The 23,312-nt window shown below is 45.2% G+C and overlaps 1 protein-coding gene across 57 annotated transcripts in view, besides 1 other annotated feature; it reads right to left on the minus strand.

Annotated features, from left to right (window-relative positions):
• The window catches only part of KANSL3 (KAT8 regulatory NSL complex subunit 3), a 57,819-nt gene that overhangs the window by 11,581 nt on the left and 22,926 nt on the right, over positions 1 to 23,312 (minus strand). For 11 of the 57 annotated variants that reach the window (XM_011511462.4, XM_011511454.4, XM_011511455.4 and 8 more), the window contains 17 exons: positions 21,414 to 21,545; positions 20,744 to 20,860; positions 20,388 to 20,489; positions 20,208 to 20,279; positions 18,990 to 19,064; positions 18,652 to 18,809; positions 17,425 to 17,488; positions 16,790 to 16,990; positions 16,434 to 16,590; positions 14,896 to 14,973; positions 13,246 to 13,437; positions 12,705 to 12,789; positions 12,176 to 12,306; positions 10,679 to 10,788; positions 10,042 to 10,264; positions 9,569 to 9,702; positions 7,579 to 8,051 (listed from right to left, as the gene is read on the minus strand). In XM_011511462.4, the coding sequence (XP_011509764.1) occupies positions 7,992 to 8,051; positions 9,569 to 9,702; positions 10,042 to 10,264; positions 10,679 to 10,788; positions 12,176 to 12,306; positions 12,705 to 12,789; positions 13,246 to 13,437; positions 14,896 to 14,973; positions 16,434 to 16,590; positions 16,790 to 16,990; positions 17,425 to 17,488; positions 18,652 to 18,809; positions 18,990 to 19,064; positions 20,208 to 20,279; positions 20,388 to 20,489; positions 20,744 to 20,860; positions 21,414 to 21,545 (2,091 nt within the window). In that variant the 3' untranslated portion in view covers positions 7,579 to 7,991. Of the gene's footprint in view, positions 1 to 1,097; positions 3,558 to 6,006; positions 6,087 to 7,578; positions 8,430 to 9,568; positions 9,703 to 10,041; positions 10,265 to 10,678; positions 10,789 to 12,175; positions 12,307 to 12,704; positions 12,790 to 13,245; positions 13,464 to 14,895; positions 14,974 to 16,433; positions 16,591 to 16,789; positions 16,991 to 17,424; positions 17,489 to 18,651; positions 18,810 to 18,989; positions 19,065 to 20,207; positions 20,280 to 20,387; positions 20,490 to 20,743; positions 20,861 to 21,413; positions 21,546 to 23,312 lie in introns of those variants that run through there. The other 46 variants (NR_047656.2, NR_047653.2, XM_047445032.1 and 43 more) reach the window with 24 other exon arrangements.
• Positions 15,916 to 17,115: an enhancer, noted in NCBI's record as "MED14-independent group 3 enhancer chr2:97273727-97274926 (GRCh37/hg19 assembly coordinates)". NCBI's record gives its function as "activates an origin of replication core promoter dependent on BRD2, BRD4, P300/CBP and CDK7 cofactors, and independent of MED14, by STARR-seq in HCT116 cells {active_cell/tissue: HCT116}" and the evidence as "EXISTENCE:reporter gene assay evidence [ECO:0000049][PMID:35650434]".

Here is a 23,312-nt window from a genome sequence, read left to right on the forward strand (position 1 = left end):
TCATTTTAACAATCTAATCCTCATCTCGCTTGACCTGACTGCTCAAGTCAGTGAGACTAGAGTTTGAGGGAGAAGACAGCAAACCAGATGTCTACTAAGGAGGGTAACACGATGTGCCCAGGTATACTGGACACTCCAAGCAGCATACCAGAACTATGGCCTCCACCCAGAGGGCTCCAATGCCAAGGGTAGTGACCTGGAATTTAGGGGTTAGAAGGAAGGTCCTCCTGAATACAAGTTAACAAATAATCTAGAGGTTGGAATTCATTCATTCATCTCTAAATCTTTATGTATTTATTGGCGGTGGGTGGAGGTATAGGAAGTGCGAAAGGATACTGATCTTTCAGGATCAAGGTTGAGGGACCCCACCTACTGACGTAGGCTCAGCCAAGAGCCCCACCATATCAACATCAATTACTCTTGGCCTGGTGGGAAGTAAACTGAAAAGGTCACGTGCAGGCCAAGCCACCATCTCCTCACCTCCTGGGTTAATCTCTACCTCCAGTCTCCCATCTTAGAACCCTAGCACAATGCAGAGTAGAAAAGACACTGACATCAGACTGTCTGGGTTCCAGTACTGCTTCTGCCATTTCCTGCTGTTTTGACTGCTCTGTGCCTGTTTCCTCACTTATAGAAAGGAAATTACAGGCTGGGTGTGGTGGCTCACGCCTGTAATCCCAGCACTTTGGGAGGCTGAGGCGGGCGGATCACAAGGTCAGGAGTTTGAGACCAGCTTGGCCAACATAGTGGAACCCTGTCTCTACTAAAAACACAAAAAATTAGCTGGGCGTGGTGTCGGGCGCCTGTAATCTCAGCTACTTGGGAGGCTGAGGCAGGAGAATTGCTTGAACACAGGAGGCGGAAGTTGCAGTTAGCCAAGATCGCGCCATTGCACTCCAGCCCAAATAACAATGCGAGACTCCATCTCGAAAAAAAAAAAAGGAAATTACAGTACCCCCTCATACCACCTGGCATTGGTGAGGTGATGATCACTGGCCTTACAATATCTTAGCTCTACCTTTGGTGCCCACTTCATTGGGTGGTTTCCAGAATACATATGAGAAGTCAACTGAAAAGAAGCTGAAGCAATCCAAATGTTGTTTTTGGTGTTTTTAATTGTTTTTGTTAATGTAAAAACAGAACCATCACAGCCGCTCAGCTCTATAACCCATCCAGCCCAAGACTGTTCTAGTGGTGAAACCAAGAGTAGACAGGTCTTCCTACCTCAGTGACCTCAAAACACAAGGACATCTCCATAGGGCATCAACATGCATCTGTCATCCAAGAATCTAAGAACTTCCTGATCCTTCCACATTTTCTATCAATAATATTGCCTTCTGAGGTTATGGATTCCAGGTCTTCTATGAAATAGGTAAAGCTTCCTTTCGCGTTCCAAGAAATATAGTTTGCGAAGGGAACTGGAAAACGTGACTCTAGGCCTCAGCCACTTCCTCTGTTACCCTGTGCAAGTTGTAGAACAATCCACGTTCTCACAGCTCCCCTTCTTCAGTTGTGGAGTTCTTCAAGGTGGACAGATCACACCTCAGGAAGTCATCCCTTGTAAGCACACTAGAATTTATCATAAAGGCAGGTCGGCTTGTTAGTTTTTCTTTGTCCCCAGCATACACTGAGCCAACAACTTAAGTCATGAATGGGTTGTTTAGGGCTCTGTCTGTCCTAAATGATTCCTAAAAGCTTCATATAGCTCATATAGTCTTATTGTCCACTGCTCTTTTGGTGTGGTATGATCCTACCTGTAAAGCTATCAAACCCCTGGGTCCTGGATGCCTCCTCCAGATTTCATACCTTCCTCAAGTTTACTAAATACTTTCTGAATTTAAGAATTTTGAGAAAGTCACCTACCAGCTAATGCAAAAACACAGCCTAATTCTGTGTGAATCCCTGTTGAGATCAGCTTTTCAGGTCAGGGAGGGAAGGTATGGGGTTTAGGGTACCCTCTCCTATCACACACATCCCCCCTGCCCACAGTACCCTGACCTACCTTGCCTGAGACTCCTAGACACTATGAGCTCCCTTCTGGCTGCCACTCAGACTGGCCAGGAAGGCTCCCAGATTGAACACAGGTGACCTGGTATAGATACACACTGTACTGTGGGCCAGAACCATGGACTACATTTTAAGCCATGTTGTGGGCCCTTCCTGCCTACAGAAAAGGACACTTGAGTGGAGTCACACTTGGGTTGCCTAATTTATTACCTTAACTAGAAACATTCTAAGTATGGGAGCCTGTTCTGGAGGATAGCTTCTAAACCAAATCTAAAACTATCTTTGCACACAAGTGTTGTGAAGAGGTAAGCAGGGGATCAGAGCTCCATCTTCTGTGACCACTTCTCCAGGGACTGCCACCTATAGGGCTCAGGTTGGTACCAACAGCCCTGCATAGTAGAGTCACTGTCAATCATCTTCCCACTTGTAAGCAGGAAGACAAAAAGTCTCATGAAATAGAAACGAAAACACTGAAGCATGGCCTTCATCGTCCTAATGCCACAAGTTTCCTGGGATGGCCAAGATACTACCTTAGCTTATTGTCCCTGCTTCACCTCCAGAGACTGGAGACAGAGGATTTTCCGGGGTTGGGGTTTCTTCTCTGACTTGGCAAATTCTTCTTTTTATCTCCAGCTGAACCACCAGTTCCTTGGGTAGCAGAGCAGAGACCTAAGCACAAACCACAGGGCTTACTAGCACATCCTTCAAGCCACTTCCTTTGCTGTTCTATTACTCTTCTTCAGCTTATCTGAACCTGCGGACTCTCTGGATACAGAAACTGCCCAAAGCATGGTGAAAAAGACAAAGGGCCCAGGTTTCACCTGGCAACCACTGCTCCCAACATCTAGAGTAAGTCAAAGAGGCTGAAAGATGACAGCCTAGTTCTCTTTGCCTTCATTATGATACTAACAAAAACCAGAAGTTTCCAGGAGTCAGCAAGCTACTCAGTATCTGACGTGGTTTCTAAGGTGGAGTTGCATGGGGAGCACTCTCCCGTGGCTGCTGAGTGAAGGCAACAGTGATGTCCAAAACAAGCCCGTCCGGCTCTGAACCACCAGTTGGCAGGCCAGGATGACTCCAGTCTTTAGCAAAGAGCTTTCCATTCTAACTCCCGAAATCCCAGACCAGATGGATGTCTCCTCCCAACTAGGCGCAGAGGGTAGCACAGACTTCCAAAAGGAAACACCTTCATTAAATGCAGCAGGCAGTCCTATATGCTGACCCTTGGGTCAAACCACAGCTTAAGCGGGGGAAGAAGTGGTTCTGATCCATGTACAGCCAGATCTGCTGAGGAGTCTGGGGTTCCCAGGAACCAGATTTGCAGATCCTGGACGATGGTGCTTCCCTTGCTGGCACCGTATCACCTAACCTAATGGTTTCTCTGAAGACAGTTGGCGGAGAGGCAAAAATGACTGTCTTAAACAGGTCTTCCGACACGTGGACAGCTCAGCAGGACCACACACCTGTCCAGGGCCCACCATGAGGCAGCCATCACCAACTTGGTAAGGAGGACATATCACACAGCATCTTCAGGGTGCTGGAGGCAGGCGCTGTGGCAGGAGAGGTAGTGAAGAAGGGTCAAAGCTTTGACAGGTTATCATCATATTCAGACCCTCTATCCCAATTATCCCAACTCCTGAGAATTTATTTTAAAGAATTAATTCTCAATAGGAAAGAAGTTGGATACACAAGGACACATGTTCTAGCTGCCAAGTGGTTAACAGAACATGGACTCTAGAGTGAGAGACTCAACTTTCCACTTTTTAAGGCAAGTGCCTATGTTCTCTGAGCCTCCTTTTCCTCGCCTGTAAGAGGTAGATGACAGCATCTACTTTCCAGGGTCACCGTAAGGATTAAATGAAATAATCCACATAAAGCTCCTGAGTTTAATCTGTGCTCAACAACAAAGGTCACCTCATATTATTACACATGAAGACAGAAAAGGAATGCAGAAAAAAGGAAATAGGTGAGTTTTTAAGGGCAACAGAACAGAAGGGAAGATTTCCGTGACTTCTGATTTTGAGGCCTTAGACATGTAGGTGTGGGGGGATGCCATCAATGTTGAGCCCTGCAGCTTAAGAATAAGGAAGCAAGTAGAGAGGGTGGCCTTTTTTACCAACGCTTTCCCCACTTTTCTAAATTTCCCCCTTGGGAAACTCCTAAGAGGTCTCTGAGAATGTAGTAAAGGAGGGAAGGCCAGGCGAGGTGGCTCATGCCTATAATCCCAACACTTTGGGAGGCCAGGCAGGAGGACTGCTTGAGCCCAGAAGTTTAAGACCAGCCTGGGCAACTTAGCCCATCTCTACAAAATTTTTTCAAACATTAGGTGAGCATAGTGCTGCATGCCTTATAGGCCCAGCTACTCGGGAGGCCGAGGCCACAGGATTGTTTGAGCCCAAGAGGTTGAGGCTGCAGTGAGCCATAATCACACCAATGAAGAGGAGTTTGACAATCAAACCTCATGACTTCAATCCCAGCACTTTGGGAGGCTGAGGTGGGAAGACTGCTGGAGCCCAGAGTTCCAGACCAACCTGGGCAATATAGCAAGACCCCATCTCAATCAAAAACAAAAACAAAACCTCATGGGCTTCCCTGCCCAAAGGCAGGGCTGTACACAGATGATCACTCTGTTCTGATTATGAATACACCTTAGAGTGAGCCAGCTTGCCCACAGCCTGCTACAAGGCTACAGTGAGGCCCACTGCCAGAGGCCTCCAGCTAGAGGTGCTGCTTGCCAGGCTGACAAGGTCCTGGTATGGCCAGCAGGACAGAGAGGAGAGAGAACTTATAACCACAGGCAGGGAGTCCATTTTTTGGACCCTGATGCAGGGCACAACATAGTCTCTGTCTGTCCTCTTCCTCCCTGCAGCTTCTCAGCTGTGATGAGTACACAATAGTCCATTCCCATGAAGGAAACACATAGTAAACACCAATCAGTGCCAGAAACAAAACAGATAATTAAGTGCTTATACAGATCTTAGAGAAGTCTAGTTGGTGTTCACTTTTCTTTTTAAATTCATTCCATCCAAAAATATTGCAGTATGGAACCCCAAAATAAAAAATGACTGTTTTAAAATCCTAACAATACCATTATCACACATTAAAAAGGTTAACAATTCCGTAATATCAACAACTATCCAGTCAGTGTTAAAATTTCCAATTGCCTCATAAATGTCAAAAAAATGGGTAGTTTGTTTCTAAGCATTAAAAAACGTCGGTTTCCAAAGCCTGAGGAGATTCTGATCCTGCCACCACAACAGTCACTGAATTAAGTCAACTTCCTCTCTAAACCAGGTAAGAAAACCAAAGCCCAGAAGGATAGGTGATTTGCCCAGGATCACACAGCTGGCTGAAAACAGATGACCTGACCCATAGTCCAGTGCTCTGTCTGGCAATCTGAACAGAGCTATTAGAAGCTTCTGAATCAGCAAGAAGCCTTAATCTAATAACATCCCCTTGCTTGTTGGAAAAGAATCACCACCTGACTCCTCCTAGCAATTACATATCCACTTTATTTTATTTATTTATTTTATTTTTTTGAGACAGAGTCTGGCTCTGTTGCCCAGGCTGGAGTGCAATGGTACAATCTCAGCTCACTGCAACCTCCGCCTCCCAGGTTCAAGCAATACTCCTGCCTCAGCCTCCCAAGTAGCTGGGATTACAGGTGCACGCCACCACATCCAGCTAATTTTTGTATTTTTAGTAGAGATGGGGTTTCACCATTTTGGTCAAGATGGTTTCGATCTCTTGACCTCGTGATCCACCCGCCTAGGTCTCTCAAAGTGCTGGGATTACAGGCGTGAACCACCATGCCCAGCCTACGTCCATTCTATTAAGATGAAAACTAATCTCATGTTAACATCATCAGTTAGAAGGCCAGACCTTGATCTTTATTCTGTGCTTCAACTGAGCTCCAGAAAAGGGGGATTCTCAATGACCTCTACTCTCTTCTCAATGGTAACTGGCTGGCCCAGGCCATGGCAAGCTGAGACGGATTACCTAACACAGGAGGAAGGGATCACGTGGCAGGATCTGTGTTCTAGTTGTCCATCAACATGGCATCAGCAAACGAAGACACCCTAAAAACAGGCCCAAATGGCTTTGTAGGTCACTTCTATCAACCCATCAAGGAACTATCATTTCTGTACTATAAAACTGTTTTAGAGTATGAGAGGGGAAAAGCACTTCCCATCTCATTCTACAAGGATTGAATTACCCCTTTTACATAACTAGACAAAGGAAAGCACACACACAGAAGTAGGGGGTGGAGGGGAAGAAAACTATGGGCCAAAGCCTGAGGAGATTAATATAGACGCCAAAATCCTAAGTAAAATAAAAGCAAATAGAATAGACATGCTTTTCTTTTGAAATGCTTAGCTTCTTTCTTTTTTCATTTCGTTCTTTTGATAGGGTCTTGTTGCCTTTGTATGTATAATAAAAAGAATAGGACACACTGAAAAAGCCACTGCATCTAGAATTCACACAGTTTGATATTAGGAAACCTATTAAAGTAACTCATCATTTTAACTGATTAGAAGGAAACGTTGGCCGGACATGATGGCTCACGCCTGTAATCCCAACACTTTGGGAGGCCAAGGTGGGTGGATCACTTGAGGTCAGGAGTTCAAGACAAGCCTGGACAACATGGTGAAACCCTGTCTCTACTAAAAATAGAAAAATTAGCTGAGGGTGGTGGCATGAGCCTATAGTCCCAGCTACTCAGGAGGCTGAGGCAAGAGAATAGCTTGAACTTGGCAGGCAGAGGTTGCAGTGAGCTGAGATCGTGCCACTGCACTCCAGCCTGGGTGACAAGAGTGAGACTGTCTCAAAAAAAAAAAAAAAAAAAAAAAAAAAGGAAATGTTTATCCTCATTCATTTCATGTGATTCTAAAAGAATAATGGAAAAAATTCAAAACTATCATGAGAAAGGAAAAGAATGAAGATTATCTTAGCAAACTAGAAACAGAATTGACACTCCCTTAACTTCAAGATCCATACTATCAACCCATAACAGAAGGCCAGCGTAGGATAGACAAATTCAAAACTACAGAACAGGCCCATATGTGTTCAGTACTTTAGAATGTGACAGCAGTGGATTTTAGATGAGTGGAGGAATGATGAATGGACTCATCCTTACCTCACTTAACATACAAAAGTGAACTATAAGGAATTAAAGGAAACAAGCAAAAGCATTATAAGAAAACACAAAGAGAGAGTTTCAATATGGGATGACAGAAAAGTTCTGGAGATGGATGGTGGTGATGGCTGTACCACAATGTGAATGTGCTCAATGCTACTGAACTGTAAGCTTGAAACATGGCTAAAATGGTACATTGTATGTTATATATGTTTTACCACAATTCAAATTTTAAAAACAAAAAGGATTACTTTTATATTCTTGTGATAGGGCTAGCTTTCTTAAGGCATAAAACTTTGGAGCTATAAAGGAAAATATTTGAAGATTTTACTATATGAAACATTTAAATGGCTGTATGATCTAGAAATAAAAGTTAAAAGACTGACTGACATTCAATGAATGCTTCAATAGAAAGAAAAAAAAATATGAGCCACTGACAGGAATAACATATATGTAATTTGTGTAACAGATAAAGATTTAACATCTGAATATACAAAGCCACTATAATTCAAAGAGTATGACAAACATTTCATAAAAGACATAAAACTTCTTAAGTAATCAGGAAAATGCACATTAAAACAATTTCATTTTTCACCCAGATTAATAAAGTTAAAATTTTGATTTCCACAAAATATGAAACATATTTTCATCACCGTGGCTAGAATTGTAAAGTAGCAAAAACTTTTTGAAGGGCAGTTAGTGAGCAGCTGCCCAGATATTAGAGGTACACATCCTCTACTTATTCTCTGGCCTGGAGAAATGCTCCCAGAGGTACACAAGAATAAACAAGTGTTCACCAGAGCATTATTTAAAATATCAAAAACCAAAATAGAACCCAGCTATCTACCTAACAGAAGGTGGTGAAATACATCTTCATACATCTACTCAGTGAAATACTAGCCAGCCTCTGAAAAGACACAGACAGGGAAACGTGTCACGACATGATTTATAAAAAAAGGCAAGTTACAAAACAGTCCATACTCTGTAATCCCATATTTGTACAAAATAAATAAAATAACATACTTTGTGTAGAAAAAAAAATTTGAATGGATCCATATCAGGCTATTAACAGTGAACATCATCTCTAGGAGTAGCATCATGGGAAACTTTCCCTTTCTAAATTAATTATTTCTATAATGTTTGAATTATTTAAAATAAGCATAATCATTTTTATAATTGAAAAAATAAGAAATAAGATAAAATTAAAACATTTCCATCCCTCTGCAAAAAAAGGTAGCTATGATCCCAACGAATGTCAGGTGTTGACCTCTGTGCAGTATTTTCCCTAAAGAGGAAGAGACAGAAGAGCTTTTAGAATGGCTCAGGAACTATCACTGCACCTCCAGTTCACAAGCAGGTTGACATGGTGGAAAGGACAGGGAGACACAGGAAGGCCTTGGCTGTATAGCGGATACTGAAGGAAAGCACACTCAGTACTAGACTCAAACTGTTTTTTGGCTTAACTTCTAATCTTTGAGTGGCTCCTCAGATTACCATTTTAAGATTAGAAATATTTGACTTGAAAAGGTCACAGGGGAAATTAGATCAGCTAAGAGAAACTAATCATGACTTCCTGGGTGAGACCTATAAAAACCTAGCTGTGCCCTAAAAAGACAGCAATAAATGCTAAGATATGGGAAGGCACAGTGCTAGAAAGCCAATGTCAAAGAAAGAGTATTATACTTGGGGGCCGAGGCGGGAGGACCACTTAAACCTTGGAGTTCAAGGCCAGCTTGGGCAACATAGTGAGATATCTCTGTCTCCATGTCCTTAAAAACAAAGAAAGGGCCAGGAGCGGTGGCTCACACCTGTAATCCCAGCACTTTCAGAGGCCGAGACAAGTAGATCACTTGAGGTCAGGAGTACGAGGCCAGCCTGGTCAACACAGTGAAACCCTGTTGTAGCCGGGCATGGTGGCGGGCGCCTGTAATCCCAGTTACTTGGGAGGCTGAGGCAGGAGAATTGCTTGAACCGGGGAGGTGGAGGTTGCAGGGAGCCGAGATCACACCCCTGCACTCCAGCTTGGGCGATAGAGCAAGACTCCATCTCAAAAAATAAAAATAAAAACAAAGAAAGAGCATTAGCCAAGTAGCCTCTACTCATAACCTCTGAAGGATGAAACCAAGGATGAGAAAAAAATGAAACGAAAGGAAAAGTAAACAAAAACATTAAATACTAGACACTGCTACCCACTTGAACATATGTACTCTTCACAATATCAAGGGAGGGATGTAGAAGAGGAAGCTCAAAGATGTCCATGATTCGCTCAATATTATAAAGCCACAAACTCCAGAATACAGATTTGAATTTGAATCTGAATCTCGTCTGTCCAGTGCATGGGCAGCCCCTTCAATCAGCCAGTCAGCTGGTCTTAAACTTCCCAATAATGAAGCCCATGTCCTCAGTCCTTCCTGGCAGACTCACCTGTGAGCTGGAGGGCAGCACCTGGGAAGAGGACTCCTCGGATGGGGCTGCTCCTGAGCCCATAGGGCTCAGTGTAGTGATCCTGCTCGGCTGGCCACGAAGTGTCAGAGTAATGGTGGTGGGGACCTTCAAGCCTGAGATAAAGAGAGAGAAGCAGAATTTTTGAGTCACACTCTCCACCTTCTACTGAGGCTTTCCTTTCCTGGAGAGCTTCTCCCCCACATAACACAGTCCCTTGGCCTCCTCCCCAGCTGGGTCATCTATGCCCTATCAGTCAATCTGAAAGGCAACAGGAAACAGCCTGTGTTCTCTCAACCTCTCTGGGGGATGGGTCCACACAGCTGAATCCAAAGGTCAATGCCAGGACCCTGTGGGACTGGTTTCAACATCATACCTTGCCCACATGAGATGGGAAGGTCCTGGGGGAAAGATCCCAGATCTGGGAGTCCCCACAGTTCTCATGAGAGACTCACCTGATGCTTGGTTAGAGATCTGAGCCAGGCCAGGGAGGCTGCTTGCCAACTTAGCGAGGCCCCCATTGGTCAGCAGCTGGTGGATGGCTGTGGGCTTCCCACCAGGAGTGGCACCCAAGGAGGAGAGAGTGGTGGCCACAGGAATGGTACGGACAATGGTGCTGGTGCCCGTGGTGATGGCACCCAGGCTCTGCATGGGGGTGGGCAACTTCACACTGGTGGCCTGTGGGACACACAAGCCCAGGTGATCAGAAGCTGTCGCCCAACAGCAACATTCGAGCTTGGAGGGCCCACAGCATATTATTAAAGGCTAACATGTATTGAGTGCCTACTACATGCAAGGTACTCTTCCAGGCATTTTGCATATATTATTTCATTCTTATAACAACTCTATGAGGGAGGTACTATTATTACCTCATTTTATAGACAAAGAAACAAAAACAGAGTGGTCAAGAAACTTGCCCAAGGTCACACAGTAAATGATAGACCTTAACTTTTGTAAGTTCCCTGCTATGTAGCTAGAAGGCTGTTTGTCCTTGATCCACTGACTCCAGACCTAGTTTCCCTGCCAAAACCAACTAAGCTGAGGAGGCCTCCTCCCTACACCTGCCCAGCCCAGCAGATGGCAGATGTGCACCTGTGGGGCTGGTCCTGGGGAGGGATTTGCTGGAAGGCCAGAGGTCTTGCTGCTGATATCCTGCAAGCTGAAGCTGAGGCCTTGGAGGAGGCTGCTGGCTGATGTGGCCCCTAAGAGAGGACATAGCAGGAATCAGTAGAGACTCAATCACTTGCACTATCCCGAGAGCAGCCACATCCATCCACCCTCACCACCAACTAAAACACCAGTGGTGCTTGCCCTTGGACACCCGTCCTCAGAGAGAAGGCAGGAAGCTCTCCCCAACTAGGCACACACGCAATGGATGCCACACAGGAAAGGTACTGTGCCAGACACTGCCCCGGACTTGCTCTGCACCTGCTGCAAACCATCAGTCATACATTTTAGACCATTTTGAGAAATCCAAGTTTGTTCCTTTCTTTCCAGGGAAGAACTTTTTAAGCCAAAAGAATTATAAATATCCAACTTTCACTTCGCCTCACACAATCAAAGCAGTAAGGAAGTAGCCTCAAAGCAATAAGAAAGGTTCTCTTAAAGGAAAAGGGTTTATTTTATTTTATTTTTTTTTGAGACGGAGTTTCGCTCTCGTTGCCCAGGCTGGAGCGCAATGGCACAATCTCAGCTCACTGCAACCTCCACCTCCTGGGTTCAAGCGATTCTCCTGCCTCAGCCTACCAAGCAGCTGGGATTACAGGTGCCCACCACCACACCCGGCTAATTTTTTGTATTTTTAGTAGAAACGGGGTTTCACCATATTGGCCAGGCTGGTCTCAAACTCCTGACCTCAGGTGATCCACCCACCTCGGCCTCCCAAAGTGTTGGGATTACAGGTGTGAGTCACCATGCCTGGCCAGGAGAGGGTTTCTGCAATGCCTTGGCCCTGCTGGGCTCAGGCAACAGGCCTTTCAAAGTAGGGTTAGTGGGTAGGACAAAGAGAGAGACAAGCACAGACAGAAAAATGTCTCATTTTGCTAATGCCCAGTGTAGCACCATTTCCAGTTTTATTCAGGCAGATGTGCTTAAAACAGCAAAGTAAAACCACAGTCAGCTCTCAATTATCTGTGAGCTTCACAGCAGATTTGCAGATTCAAACAACCACGGATAGAAACCTGTGGATATAGAATTCCAACGGTATGACATAATTTCATATAAGGGACTTGAGCATCCATGGATTTTGGTAGTGGTGAGGGTCCTAGAACCAATCTCCTGTGGATAAGAAAGGCTGACTATACATATATGTCCTATCGGCTATTTCTCCTTACAGTAGAGGATACAGCACCTGTAGACTGGAACATTTACTCACTTGCAGACCAGGACATTTACTCACTGCATTTATTCAAGGCCAAGGAATCCCTCTGCCCAAGCTAATTCCAGCTTCACGTCAAGCCTCTATGATCACTCTAAGACCCAGAGGCCCATCCTATGGATTTAGCTCCAGGGATGCTTTCCCAGGACCACCCAGAAGCAGCAGACCAAAAATTCTGTGTTGGAAGGGGAGAATGCTGGGCCACAAGATACCTGGGAGGGAGCTGCCAGGAGATGTGGCCACCAGGCGGCTCTGCAGTGTGTGCAAGGCACTGGGTGCAGTGCTGCTGGAGACCACTGAAGGGACTGGGCTGGCTGAGACTCCACCTTCAGAAGAACTGGACCTGGAGACAAAGGAAGGAGCTCTGTTATCCAAAGGTCACAGGACAGCAAGCCCTAGCAACACTGGCAGGGTACAGAGTGGGGCCCAGCAAGGCTTTCAGCAGCAGACATACACCAAAAACCTTCAGCTTCTTTGTCCCACTTTCTGTACCTGGCCTCTAGTCTTCTAAAAGTCCTTACTTACAGGACTTATAGCAAAAGCCAGGGGACGATTTGGAGTCTTAAGTAAAAGTGAACTCTGGGTTGACTCAAAAGCAAGACAAAGATCCCAATCAGAAGTAAGTCACATTTCCAAAACTGACAAGAATCCAGAATCCATCATTTTCCAAAGCACTAAATAAACCAGAAACAGAGGGAAGGGAAAAAAGGAATAGACACAGATGGTCCAATAAACACTCACTTGGCTGTGGTGAGAAGTCCTGTGAGCTCCTTGGCCCCTGCTGAAGCCTGCCCCAGTGTCATGGTGATGGGCTTCCCACCTGCAGCTTCAAAACAGAAAACCCCAAGGCCCCTGGTCAGTCCTATTTGGCCTCTATGTTTCCAGGTTCCACAGCTTAGGCTAAATGCAAGATATTACGGACGAAAACTGGAAAATGAAAAAAGATGAACTATGCTAGAGTAGGGAGAGTTGGGGTTATTTTTTCCTTCTATTTTCTAAACTTCCTGAAATATTCTGTACCTTTAATTGAAGCCAACAAAAAAAGAACAAAATATAGGATGCTTTGAACGATGGCACAGCTTCCTCTCATATTCTGCCTGCCTGGTCCTCATTCAGATGGACTCATGCCAACTTTACCCACATGTACAGACTCATGTCTTCTTTGCTCCGGGCATCTCTCAAAATAAAGCAAAGGCTGACATGCTGGTGAATGGCCACCAAAGGGCAATGCTGTGTACCTGAGAGAGCTCAGTTCTCATTTAACGTACCAAGAGAAACTCACCTTCTGGAGCACTTCCTTGGGAAGGAGCACAAGGCCCTCCAGCTGTGTCCCCTTGGGAGATAAGGGACACCTTGATCTTCGGTCGTTTGGAGGTCTTACTGCCAGGAAGGGGACTCGAGGGATGGTGTCGCTTCAGCTGAACCCTAAGATCCTCTTTCTCTCCTTCCTCTGGTGGTTCTGATGAAATGGGAACTAAGACATGGAGCTGAGTTGAGATCCTCCACAATCCAAAAAATCCCAACAGACACTCAGTCAATACCAGCACCAACACAGCCATGTGTAGAATGTAGAACACACAGGATAACCACTCTACGTACAGGGCCACCCCTCAAAGGAGACTGCCCATGCTTCAGGACCACTTCACTCAGGCCCTGTCCGTGGGGGACCCCACTTTGCCCTTCTTAGAGGATGGCACCCTTCTCATCCCTCATCCTGCACTGGAATCGGAAGAGAAGGGGCCCTGAGTTGGTAGGAATTAAAAGACAGAAGACATCCTGACCCTGCCTAGCCAAGGCCAATGGCAACAACAACAAAAATAGAGGATTCAACAGAATGAGTAAACAGTCCTTCTCAGACTCAAAAAATGTGATCATCTTCCTGTCTGAAGCCCTCCCCACATCATCACACAGTTGGAGACATCAAACATTCTATGAGAACTCATGGAGGAGCAGGTCATCCAGTCCTCTCTAAAAAGTAGAGTTTTCCAAAGGCTCTCAAGAGTCCCACCCTGCCCTAAGAGCCCACAGTTGAGGATCCACTTGCCAAATGGAGGCAATGAAGAGGAGTGTCACCAGGACTAAAAGCTGGCTATGAGTAGCTACTAGGAGAGAGAGTACCTCAACCAGGCAACCTCACGGCTCCCACCCAAAAGTAACAGGGCAACACTGGCCCATGTCACAACCTAGTCCCCAGGTCATGTGTACTAGTACAGACAAAGGCCATCTGTTCACACATGGGCTTCCACTTCCACTGAATCAAACAGGCTCATCATGTATACAGCCAAGCTTTTTGGACTCTTAGGTTATCTTTCAAGCTTCCTCAAAGATTCCCTCCTCTTTAAACCCAGAAGTCCACCCTAGTCCTCTTGTAGCACAGGGAAGCAAAGACTGGTGTGGGGAGGAAGGTAGCAGTCACATGAGGAGGGAGGAGGGGTCCTGGCATGAGGCAACAGTCAGGACATAACCAGCTAGAAGGATTGCTTAGGGGACAAATGCACTGGCTAAAATCAGAGTAGGAAGGAGGGTGTAGGGGAAAGGAGTTTCAGGTTCTATGCTGATATGTGGCTGGTAGGCTTGTAGCCACCAGATAAACACAGGACAGGAGGCAGGGAGAAAAACACACAAGGAAACTGAGACTCAGGCAATGCCACAGACATACAAAAAAGCAGCAGAGCCAAGACCGTAGTGAAAGAAAGAACCACACTAAGAGACAAAAAAGAAAACACCATGAGAAGCAAACAAAAGAATGGAAAAAGGGCAAAGACTACAGAGTAAGCAAAAGGGGTCAGCAAAACAAAAGAATACAAAGAAAGAGAGAGAAAAGAACAGGAGGAAACCAAACTGAGGCAGATGAGAGGCAGAGATGGAAAATAAATAAGGGGTTGAGGAGCAGAATGTAGTGGACGAGCAGGCAAGAAAGAGTAATACTCACCAAAGAGACAGGAGGAGGTGCCAGGAGGAAGAGCTTTCCTCACCAGCATATTTTGTTTCAGAAAAGCAGCAAACTGTGCTGGAATGAATCAGAAAGAATTACAGAATCACAGCCAGCCAGAGAAGGGAGAAAAAGAGAGGGAATAAGAAAAAAGGTTGTAGAAAATGGCCAATAGGGGCTCCTTCTGAAATTACTGCATGGCAACCTGACTCTGCCACGGAGTCAGTCTGTAGAAGCATCTAAAACTGAATAGTACTATCTGCCTCATGGGGCCATGCCAAAACTCAACAAACTACAGCAATGCGAGTGCCATGAAGAAGGCATGGCACACAGCAAGGACTCCATATATGTTCGCTATTAGTATTCCCCGTTTGCCCATCAGCTCTGCTAAGCCAGGGTTCTAAAGCTGCTACTCTCCCCCATGACACCCTAGATCCCCATTTCAAACCCAGCTCGCCAATCAGCCTTCCAAACTCCTTAGATTCTCAACTAATCACCCTCTGCAGAAGCACAGCAGACCACCAGCTCTGTCTTCTTCAGAAGTGTAAAGACACACTGTCCACACGGGACTTGGCTCTGGCCACCACTCATGAAGATCCATGGCAGAGCATCCGCGCAGACCCTTGGGGCCTGGCCTCATTTCTCAACTCCTCCCATCCACTCACACTTCTACTCCTTGTTAGTACTACTCTTATAAGCAAACTCACAAGAGGTCTGGGTTTCGGTTCTGATCATTTGGCTCCACTAAAAGAAACACAGGGAAAGTAAACAGATGAGCCTCCTATCCCCTCCACGTCTGTCTGCCAGACAGCCAGCTCTGGCTGCTGCCTCTTCCCAGGCACCCCTATTCCTGAAAAGCTCAGGTGACATGCTCCTGGACACATCGTTAAACACCAATGCCCAAGAGGCCTTACCTCAAGGCCACCCAACTGGATCAATGTGGGGGAAGGGGGACAGAACCACTGTTTCTTCTTTCCCTACCCAATGAACTCTCCCTTTTCTATAGCTCCTTTCATAGCACTCGCAGCTCACCAAACTCTTACTTTCGACTATAGGAATACTTCCCAGCTTCATCTGAAACCTGTATGCAGAGAACCCTGATAAACTTCACTGAAAGTCTCAGTGTGAGAATCTTAACGCTTCAAGGGTCAAACAAAGAAAGGGCATGATGCCAGGTGAGTTACCCTAGAATCTGATTAATAAAATCAATCACCCAATACATATGATTGGAGAGCCCCGACTGGAGGAGTGGCTGGCAAGGTAGAAAAAAGTTTAGGCCAATATACATGTTCATAAAGCCTAGCCTCCCCAGAACAGCAAGACAAAGCTATAACTAGTGATCACAAAGCCCCACTAACTCAGAGGCCTTGGCATTCATTTCAATAATTAATTTTGAATTTTGCCTGCACAGAAATGTGAGAAAGGGCGCCTCTCACATCCCCCTGAAAAAAGCCATAGATATCAATACTGTGCAACTGCCATGTGACATGAACTACAGAAGACAGACCCAAGAGGAGCCACTGGCCAAGTGCCTATACCTTGAGCTTGTTTGTGGGTCAGCACAGCTTCTGTCCGCTGCACATGTCTCTTCAGCAGCTGAGAACTTCCAATCTGACTGGACTTCTGGGCAGAGGTCACTGTGGTCACTTTGGTCTTGGGACTGGAGGTGGGGCTGCTGGACACACTGGAGAGATCCTGAGTAAGGTGAGAAGGTCAAGAGATGAGACAATGTTACTAGGATCTGACCATGAGTCAGCATGTCCCTCTGGAATTCCCCTTGTAGGAACTCACAGGCCCATGGCACTAATAAGACAGAGGCATCCCCAGGAAATTAAGGAACCAACTCTGTGGTGCTGATTCCCCAGCAAAAGCGCTCCCTCCCTGCTCACACTACCTCTGAGCCTGAGGGTGAGGCGGGCAGCTTGGCAGCTGGGGAGGCAGGTCGACTGCCCCGCTCAGGGACTTCAAAGGCCAAGTCTCTGCGGGCCACATCGCGGGGCTTCTTCTTCTTCTCAGCATCCTGATCCCGAGGTTCAGAGCCCATGTGACCCTCAGCACGAGTGAGCACTCCAGTCAGAAAGTCCACAATCTCATCCTAGTGTAGAGAGGAGCCAACCAAGGCCTTTTAGTCCTCATCTGGAGAATGGGAACCTCTCATATACTTTCCAACTAAAACAGATTCTCCCTCAGCTCTGGCATCCGCATGTGCCAGTCCTTCCCCACTCAAACAAGGTCTGGCGCAAATCCCAGGCTTCTGAGCAACTGTGGTTCAAGAAGACCAGCAAGTGCCTCTGTCAGGGGGAGCTCTGGGGTGGTCACATTCCACCACTTTTCCAACACTCTCCCCCGTGATGCTTTGCTTACATTAATTCACCACTCTCATTTTTCTTTTCTTTGCTTATGACTGAGACCTACCAGAGGCCCCAGTGGAGGCCTTAGAGCCAAAGAGACCACTACCAATAAGACCAAACCTAAAAGGCTACAGAAAGGCAAGCCTAGCTGAGAAAAGCACACAAAACAACTGTTTACCTGAATACATCTGTCCACCATGCTCTGAGTCAACCCTTCTGATTTCTTCTTTGCTTTGCTTATTCTAAGAAACAAAAAGGATGACATGTTTACTTCTTACACATTGCACGGCATCCTATGAAAATAAGAACGTATTTCTTTTCTGGGTTGTTTATTTTCTAGCCCCAGAAGGAGGGCCATGTTAGCCTTAGGCAGGTAATGCAACCTCTCCGAACCTGTTTCCGTGTCTGCAAAATGGGGAATCATAACATCCCATTCATGGAGTTGTGGGGATTAAACAAAATAACATATGTAAAGAAACCAAGCACAGTGCCCAGGACAGTCCGCTCCAGAATTCCTATACCTATAGCTTAATAGATCAACTCTATCCAGAACTCAGGAGGCGGAGGTTGCAGTGAGCTGAGATTGCACCACTGCAGTCCAGCATAGGCGACAGAGCCAGGCGCCACCTCAAAAAAAAAAAAAAAAAAAAAAAAAAAAAAGCTCAAGGTCGTGAAAGACAAAGATGGAGGAACTCTATCAAATTAAAGGAGACTGAGGAGACATGGCAACTAAATCCAAGTGTGATCCTGGGCTGGATGCTGGACCAGAAAAATGACATTAGGGAAACAACTGATGAAACATGAGTCTGTAAATTACAGTATCATGTAGATGTTAATTTCTTGATTTTGAGAATTACACTTTGGCTATGTAAGATGTTTAACATTTAGAAAATCAGGTGAAGGGTATATAGGAATTGTTTTGTACTAGTGTTATAACTTTTTATAAATCTGAAATTTCAAATATTAAAAAAGGTTTTTTTAATGCTGTCTTTTTTTAATTTTTTTTTTTTTTTGAGACAGAGTCTTGCTCTGTCACCCAGGCTGGAGTGCAGTGGCGGGATCTCGGCTCACTGCAAGCTCCGCCTTCTGGGTTCACACCATTCTCCTGCCTCAGCCTCCCGAGTAGCTGGGACTACAGGCGCCCGACACCAGGCCTGGCTAATTTTTTGTATTTTTAGTAGAGACGGGGTTTCACCGTGTTAGCCAGGATGGTCTCAATCTCCTGACCTCGTGATCCGCCTGCCTCAGCCTCCCAAAGTCCTGGGATTACAGGCGTGAGCCACCGCGCCCGGCTAATGCTGTCTTTTAACTGAACCAGACTGGTCTGTAGTTACATTGCCAGCTTCCAGGCTTATCTCTAACACTGTAACACAGCTCTCTTGCAGCTCTGGGAGAATCCACCCACCTGAGATTGTCATCAGCTCCCCCAACCACCACCAAGCTGTTCTCAGCTCGAATCTTCTCCCGGAAGTCCTCCATGGCTTCAGGGTGACATTGAAGGGAATTCTGACCAATGACAAAGAGGACTGGAGTCTTCATATCCAAGAGGGGATCATCTACATCCTAAAACAGGTATAGGTTTTAGAATCGGCTTCTTCATATTCACAAAGCACTGACCCAGAAACTCCACTAAGGAGGATCAGCCATGCAACTGCAGTCAGCCTCAGCATCAGCTTGGACAAGGCATGCACACTCGCGCTCCCACTGCCAATGACCCAGCACTCAGCTTTACCACATTCTTACCCCTCTGGGGCCATCCACAGTAAGCAGAGGAAACCCAAGGCAGACAACTGCAGTGACATACTCCATTACTGACACCTGTAAATAACAGAACAGTTTGTCTAAACGTCAACTGAGTTCATGGCACCTCAGCCTACCCAGAATCCAGGAGTGGTCCAGACCCACCAGACAGTCTCACCTCTTCCTCTCCTGTCCTAATATCCGGGTGCATCTTCTGCCACAATGGCAGCAGTAAGAGCACAAGACACAAGGTATGTCATTCCATAAGCAGCCACTACCTAGAGAACTGGGGCCCTAAGAGGACCCCAGCAGGTGGCTGAACCATAGGATAGAAGGTTCAGTATTCCTACCCTGTCAACCCCCTCAACTAGAGCCCTCCTGCTCCATTTTTCTCCACAAATAGTAAATATAGTCAAGAGAACACAATGTTGCCATTAACCCTTAAGTGAAAAAAAATTCTCTCTATTGAACTTAATGGATAGCTACCAGACAGCCTAGATTTCTTGGAGCAAACTGCTAAGGCCTAACACCCTGGGAGCAGGGACTATGGGGACCTTCTTCCTCTCATAGCTATCACACTTGATTGGACTGCATGAAGCAAAATTAAGGGTTTGGACATGAGGGACACTTACACAAACTGACAGACATACAAATATATGTAAAATACGAAAAGATTCCTTGATGTCTTGGAAAAAGACTGAAATGAACACAGCATCAAATTCCAGAGCTATTAATATTTGCCAGCTACAATTACTGTTGTTTTTTAGGTGGGAGAACAGTATGGTACTTATGTTTAGAGAAAAAAAGGGATCTTTTTTTTTTTTCCACAGATATATACCCATATGTGTGTGTGTGTGTGTGTGTGTGTGTGTGTGTGTATGTGAAAATGCTATTATATTTGGGATTTTCTTCAAAACAATCTAGGGGAGAAAGAAAATGAGCAGGGTGAGATGAAACAAGCCCAGCCAAGAGTTGATCACTGGTAAAGCTGGGTGAGGATCCGGGGGTTTATTATACTACACCTGCTTTTGTTTCTGCTTAAAGTTTTCCAAAATAAATTAAAAATTGTTTTAATAAAATTTGTCTTCTACAGTTTAAAATGTAATTATATAGGTAAAGTATCTAGCGCAGAGCCTGACACACAGTAAAGGACTCAATGGTAGCTATGATTAGTGGTATTCCATCCCAGGACAACCTCCAAATAAGATAGAAATTACTTACATGACAGGCCACCAAAGCTCCTGTGTTCCAGCCAATCAAGATAATGGGTTTGTGTGGGAAATGGCTGTGAATCTTCATGGGAAGAGAAAGAAGACAGTAAGACAGGAGGCCAAAGATAGGTGCAGAACAACCCCAGAATGCTGGGTATGCCACAATGTACTGAAATACGGGCATTCTCACCTCCAGCACTTTGCTTCTCACTGCCCCAATCATATGCTCGAGACACTGTAGAACTCCTACCCCACTGCCATTGTTCAGCAGATGGGTGGCTACAGGGATGACCTGAAGGAAAGAAGTAGCCCCCACACCAGCAGAGGTAAGTTTCAAATCTTTCAATTCTGTTTAACCTAACCTAAACCCAAAACCTTGGAATTCCACATGAAAGAAGGATTAGAGGAGGCTCCACATGAAAGAAGGGTTAGAGGAGGCTCCACATTCAAGTTACCCATTTTGACCTCCTCCCACATATTCTTCTCCTCAATCCTCCAAGACTATATTCCCTGCCAGGAAGGAGTTCCTCTTGCCCCCACACATACCTTGCCCAAGCAGGACAGCTGAGATTGCCAGAAGCGGTGGCGGCGTGAAGTGGGAAACACAGAGCTGGAGGGACCAGAGGAGGCGATGAGAATCAGCGGAGAGCCAGGGAGTTTGCTCTAAAGAGGAAGAATCCCACCCAAAAACCAGTGAGTGAGAAGTGTCCTTTCATGAAATTCCAAGTATCCCAATACCTTTCTCATCCCAACCAATGCTCCTTTGCTTGTGAAATTATGTTAAGCACTATGTAAAATAAATTATTAATAATAGTTAAAGAAGCTGGCCAGTCATGCTGGCTCACACCTGCAATCCCAGCACTTTGGGAGGCCAAGGCAAGTGGATCACCTGAGATTAGGAGTTTGAGACCAGCCTGGCCAACATGGTGAAATCCTGTCACTACTGAAAATTAGCTGGGCATGGTGGTGCATGCCTGTAATCTCAGCTCCTCAGGAGTCTGAGGCAGGAGAATTGCCTGAACCCAGGAGGTGGAGGTTGCAGTAAGCTGAGATCGTGCCACTGCACTCTAGCCTGGGTAACAGAGCAAGATTCTGTCTCAAAAAATAATAATAATAATAAATAGTTAAAGAAGCCATTTATCCTCCTGCCAAGGTTCTAAGGCTTGAGTCTAAAATTTTTATGTACCATTGTTAAGTCCTGAGCCATCCAACTTACTGGTTTGTTATGAGAAAGCACACCCACAGCAGGGTCCCAGGGCCTCTTCAGTAGGAGAGACAAGGCCTCAGCTCCTGCAGCCCCAGTCTTTGTGTTGGATGACACAAGCATCCGGTCAATCAAGGTTGGGATCTACAAAGAAGAAAGAGCAAAGATGACTCCAGTGTAAAGCAGGAGACCTTCCACCACCAGCAATCAAGCAGAAGAACAGAGCCCCACTATAAGCCATAGACAGACTTCAACTAAGCCTCTGAAAACCTCCTAAGGATCAAGAATATATATAAATAAGCGGGTGAAAAGTATGCTCCCACCATGAAAAGTGAATGTGTACAATCCTTTGGAAAGCAGTCTGGATATGCAGCAAGGGACTTAAATGTATTCCCATCCCTTTTCCAAATGTTTCTACTTCTGAGAACCTTTCCAAAGAAAACGTATCAGAAACAAAAACACACACAAAAGGATGGGGACAATTATGCACAGAGACAAATTAACTATGAATAATAATAAAGTAAAAACAATTTAATATATATGTGCATATGTAAGGGAGTAGTTTAGTCAACTATCTACCTAATTGGATATTAAAGATTATTTTCGAATATTTACAAGAATTTATTTATTTATTGAGACAAAGTCTCGCTCTGTCGCCCAGGCTAGAGTGCAGTGGCCTGATCTTGGCTCACTGCCACCTCTGCCTCCCGGGTTCAAGCGATTTCTTGTTTCTCAGCCTCCCAAGTAGCTGAGATTACAGGCGTGCACCACCATACCCAGCTAATTTTTTGTATTTCTAGTAGAGATGGAGTTTCACCATATTGGTCAGGATGGTCTTGAACTCCTGACCTCAAATGATCCACCCGCCTCAGCCTCCTCAAGTGCTGGGATTAAAGGCATCAGCCACTGCACCCAGCTTTCAAATATTTACAAGGATATATAATAACACACAGAAATAATTTTGCTAAAATGTTACAGGTAAAATAGAAAATATAAAGATTATCTCTACTCAAAGCTGGGCTCAGCGACTCATGCCTGTAATCCCAGCACTTTGAGAAGCCAAGGTGGGCAGATCACTTGAGGTCAGGAGTTCGAGATAAGCCTGGCCAACATGGTGAAACCCTGTCTCCACTAAAAATACAAAAATTAGCCAGGTGTGGTGGCGCACACCAGTAATCCCAGCTACTTGGGAAGCTGAGGTCCGAGAATCACCTGAACCCGGGAGGTGGAGGTTGTGGTGAGCCAAGGTCATGACACTGCACTCCAGCCTAGGCAACAGAGTGAGACTCTTCTCAAAAAAAAGAAAAAAAAAAAAAAGAAAGAAAGAAAAAAAGAAAAAAATTATCTCTACTCCCCTAATGCTAAATGACGAGTTAATGGGTGCAGCACACCAACATGGCACACGTATACATATGTAACAAACCTGCACGTTGTGCACATGTACCCTAAAACTTAAAGTATAATAATAAAATTAAAAAAATAAAAAAAGATACATTAAGTGGGATAAAACAGATTTCTAAACAATGAATATAATAGAATCATATTTTAAAGAAAATATGCTGCACACCTGTAGTCCCAGCTACTCAGGAAGCTGAGACACGAGAATCGCTTGAACCCAGGAGGCAGAGGTTGCAGTGAGCCAAGAGTGTGCCACCGCACTCCAGCCTGGGAAACAGAGGGAGACTGTCTCAAAAAAAAAAAAAAAAAAAAAAAGACAAAATGTTAATAATGATCTCTATGGAGTTTATGGGTGACTTTTTCCTTTACAGATTTCTATGTTCCCTAAATTTCCTCAATGAGTATCAGTTGATTTTATAATATTTTTAAATCTCCATTTTCTTCTAGAGTACTGCCTTCAAGCTGTGGTGTACTAAATAAATCTGTTATTATGTACAAAAATATATATCCTGC

The sequence above is a fragment of the Homo sapiens genome, chromosome 2 (genome assembly GCF_000001405.40).
Source record: "Homo sapiens chromosome 2, GRCh38.p14 Primary Assembly".
NCBI lineage: Eukaryota > Metazoa > Chordata > Mammalia > Primates > Hominidae > Homo > Homo sapiens.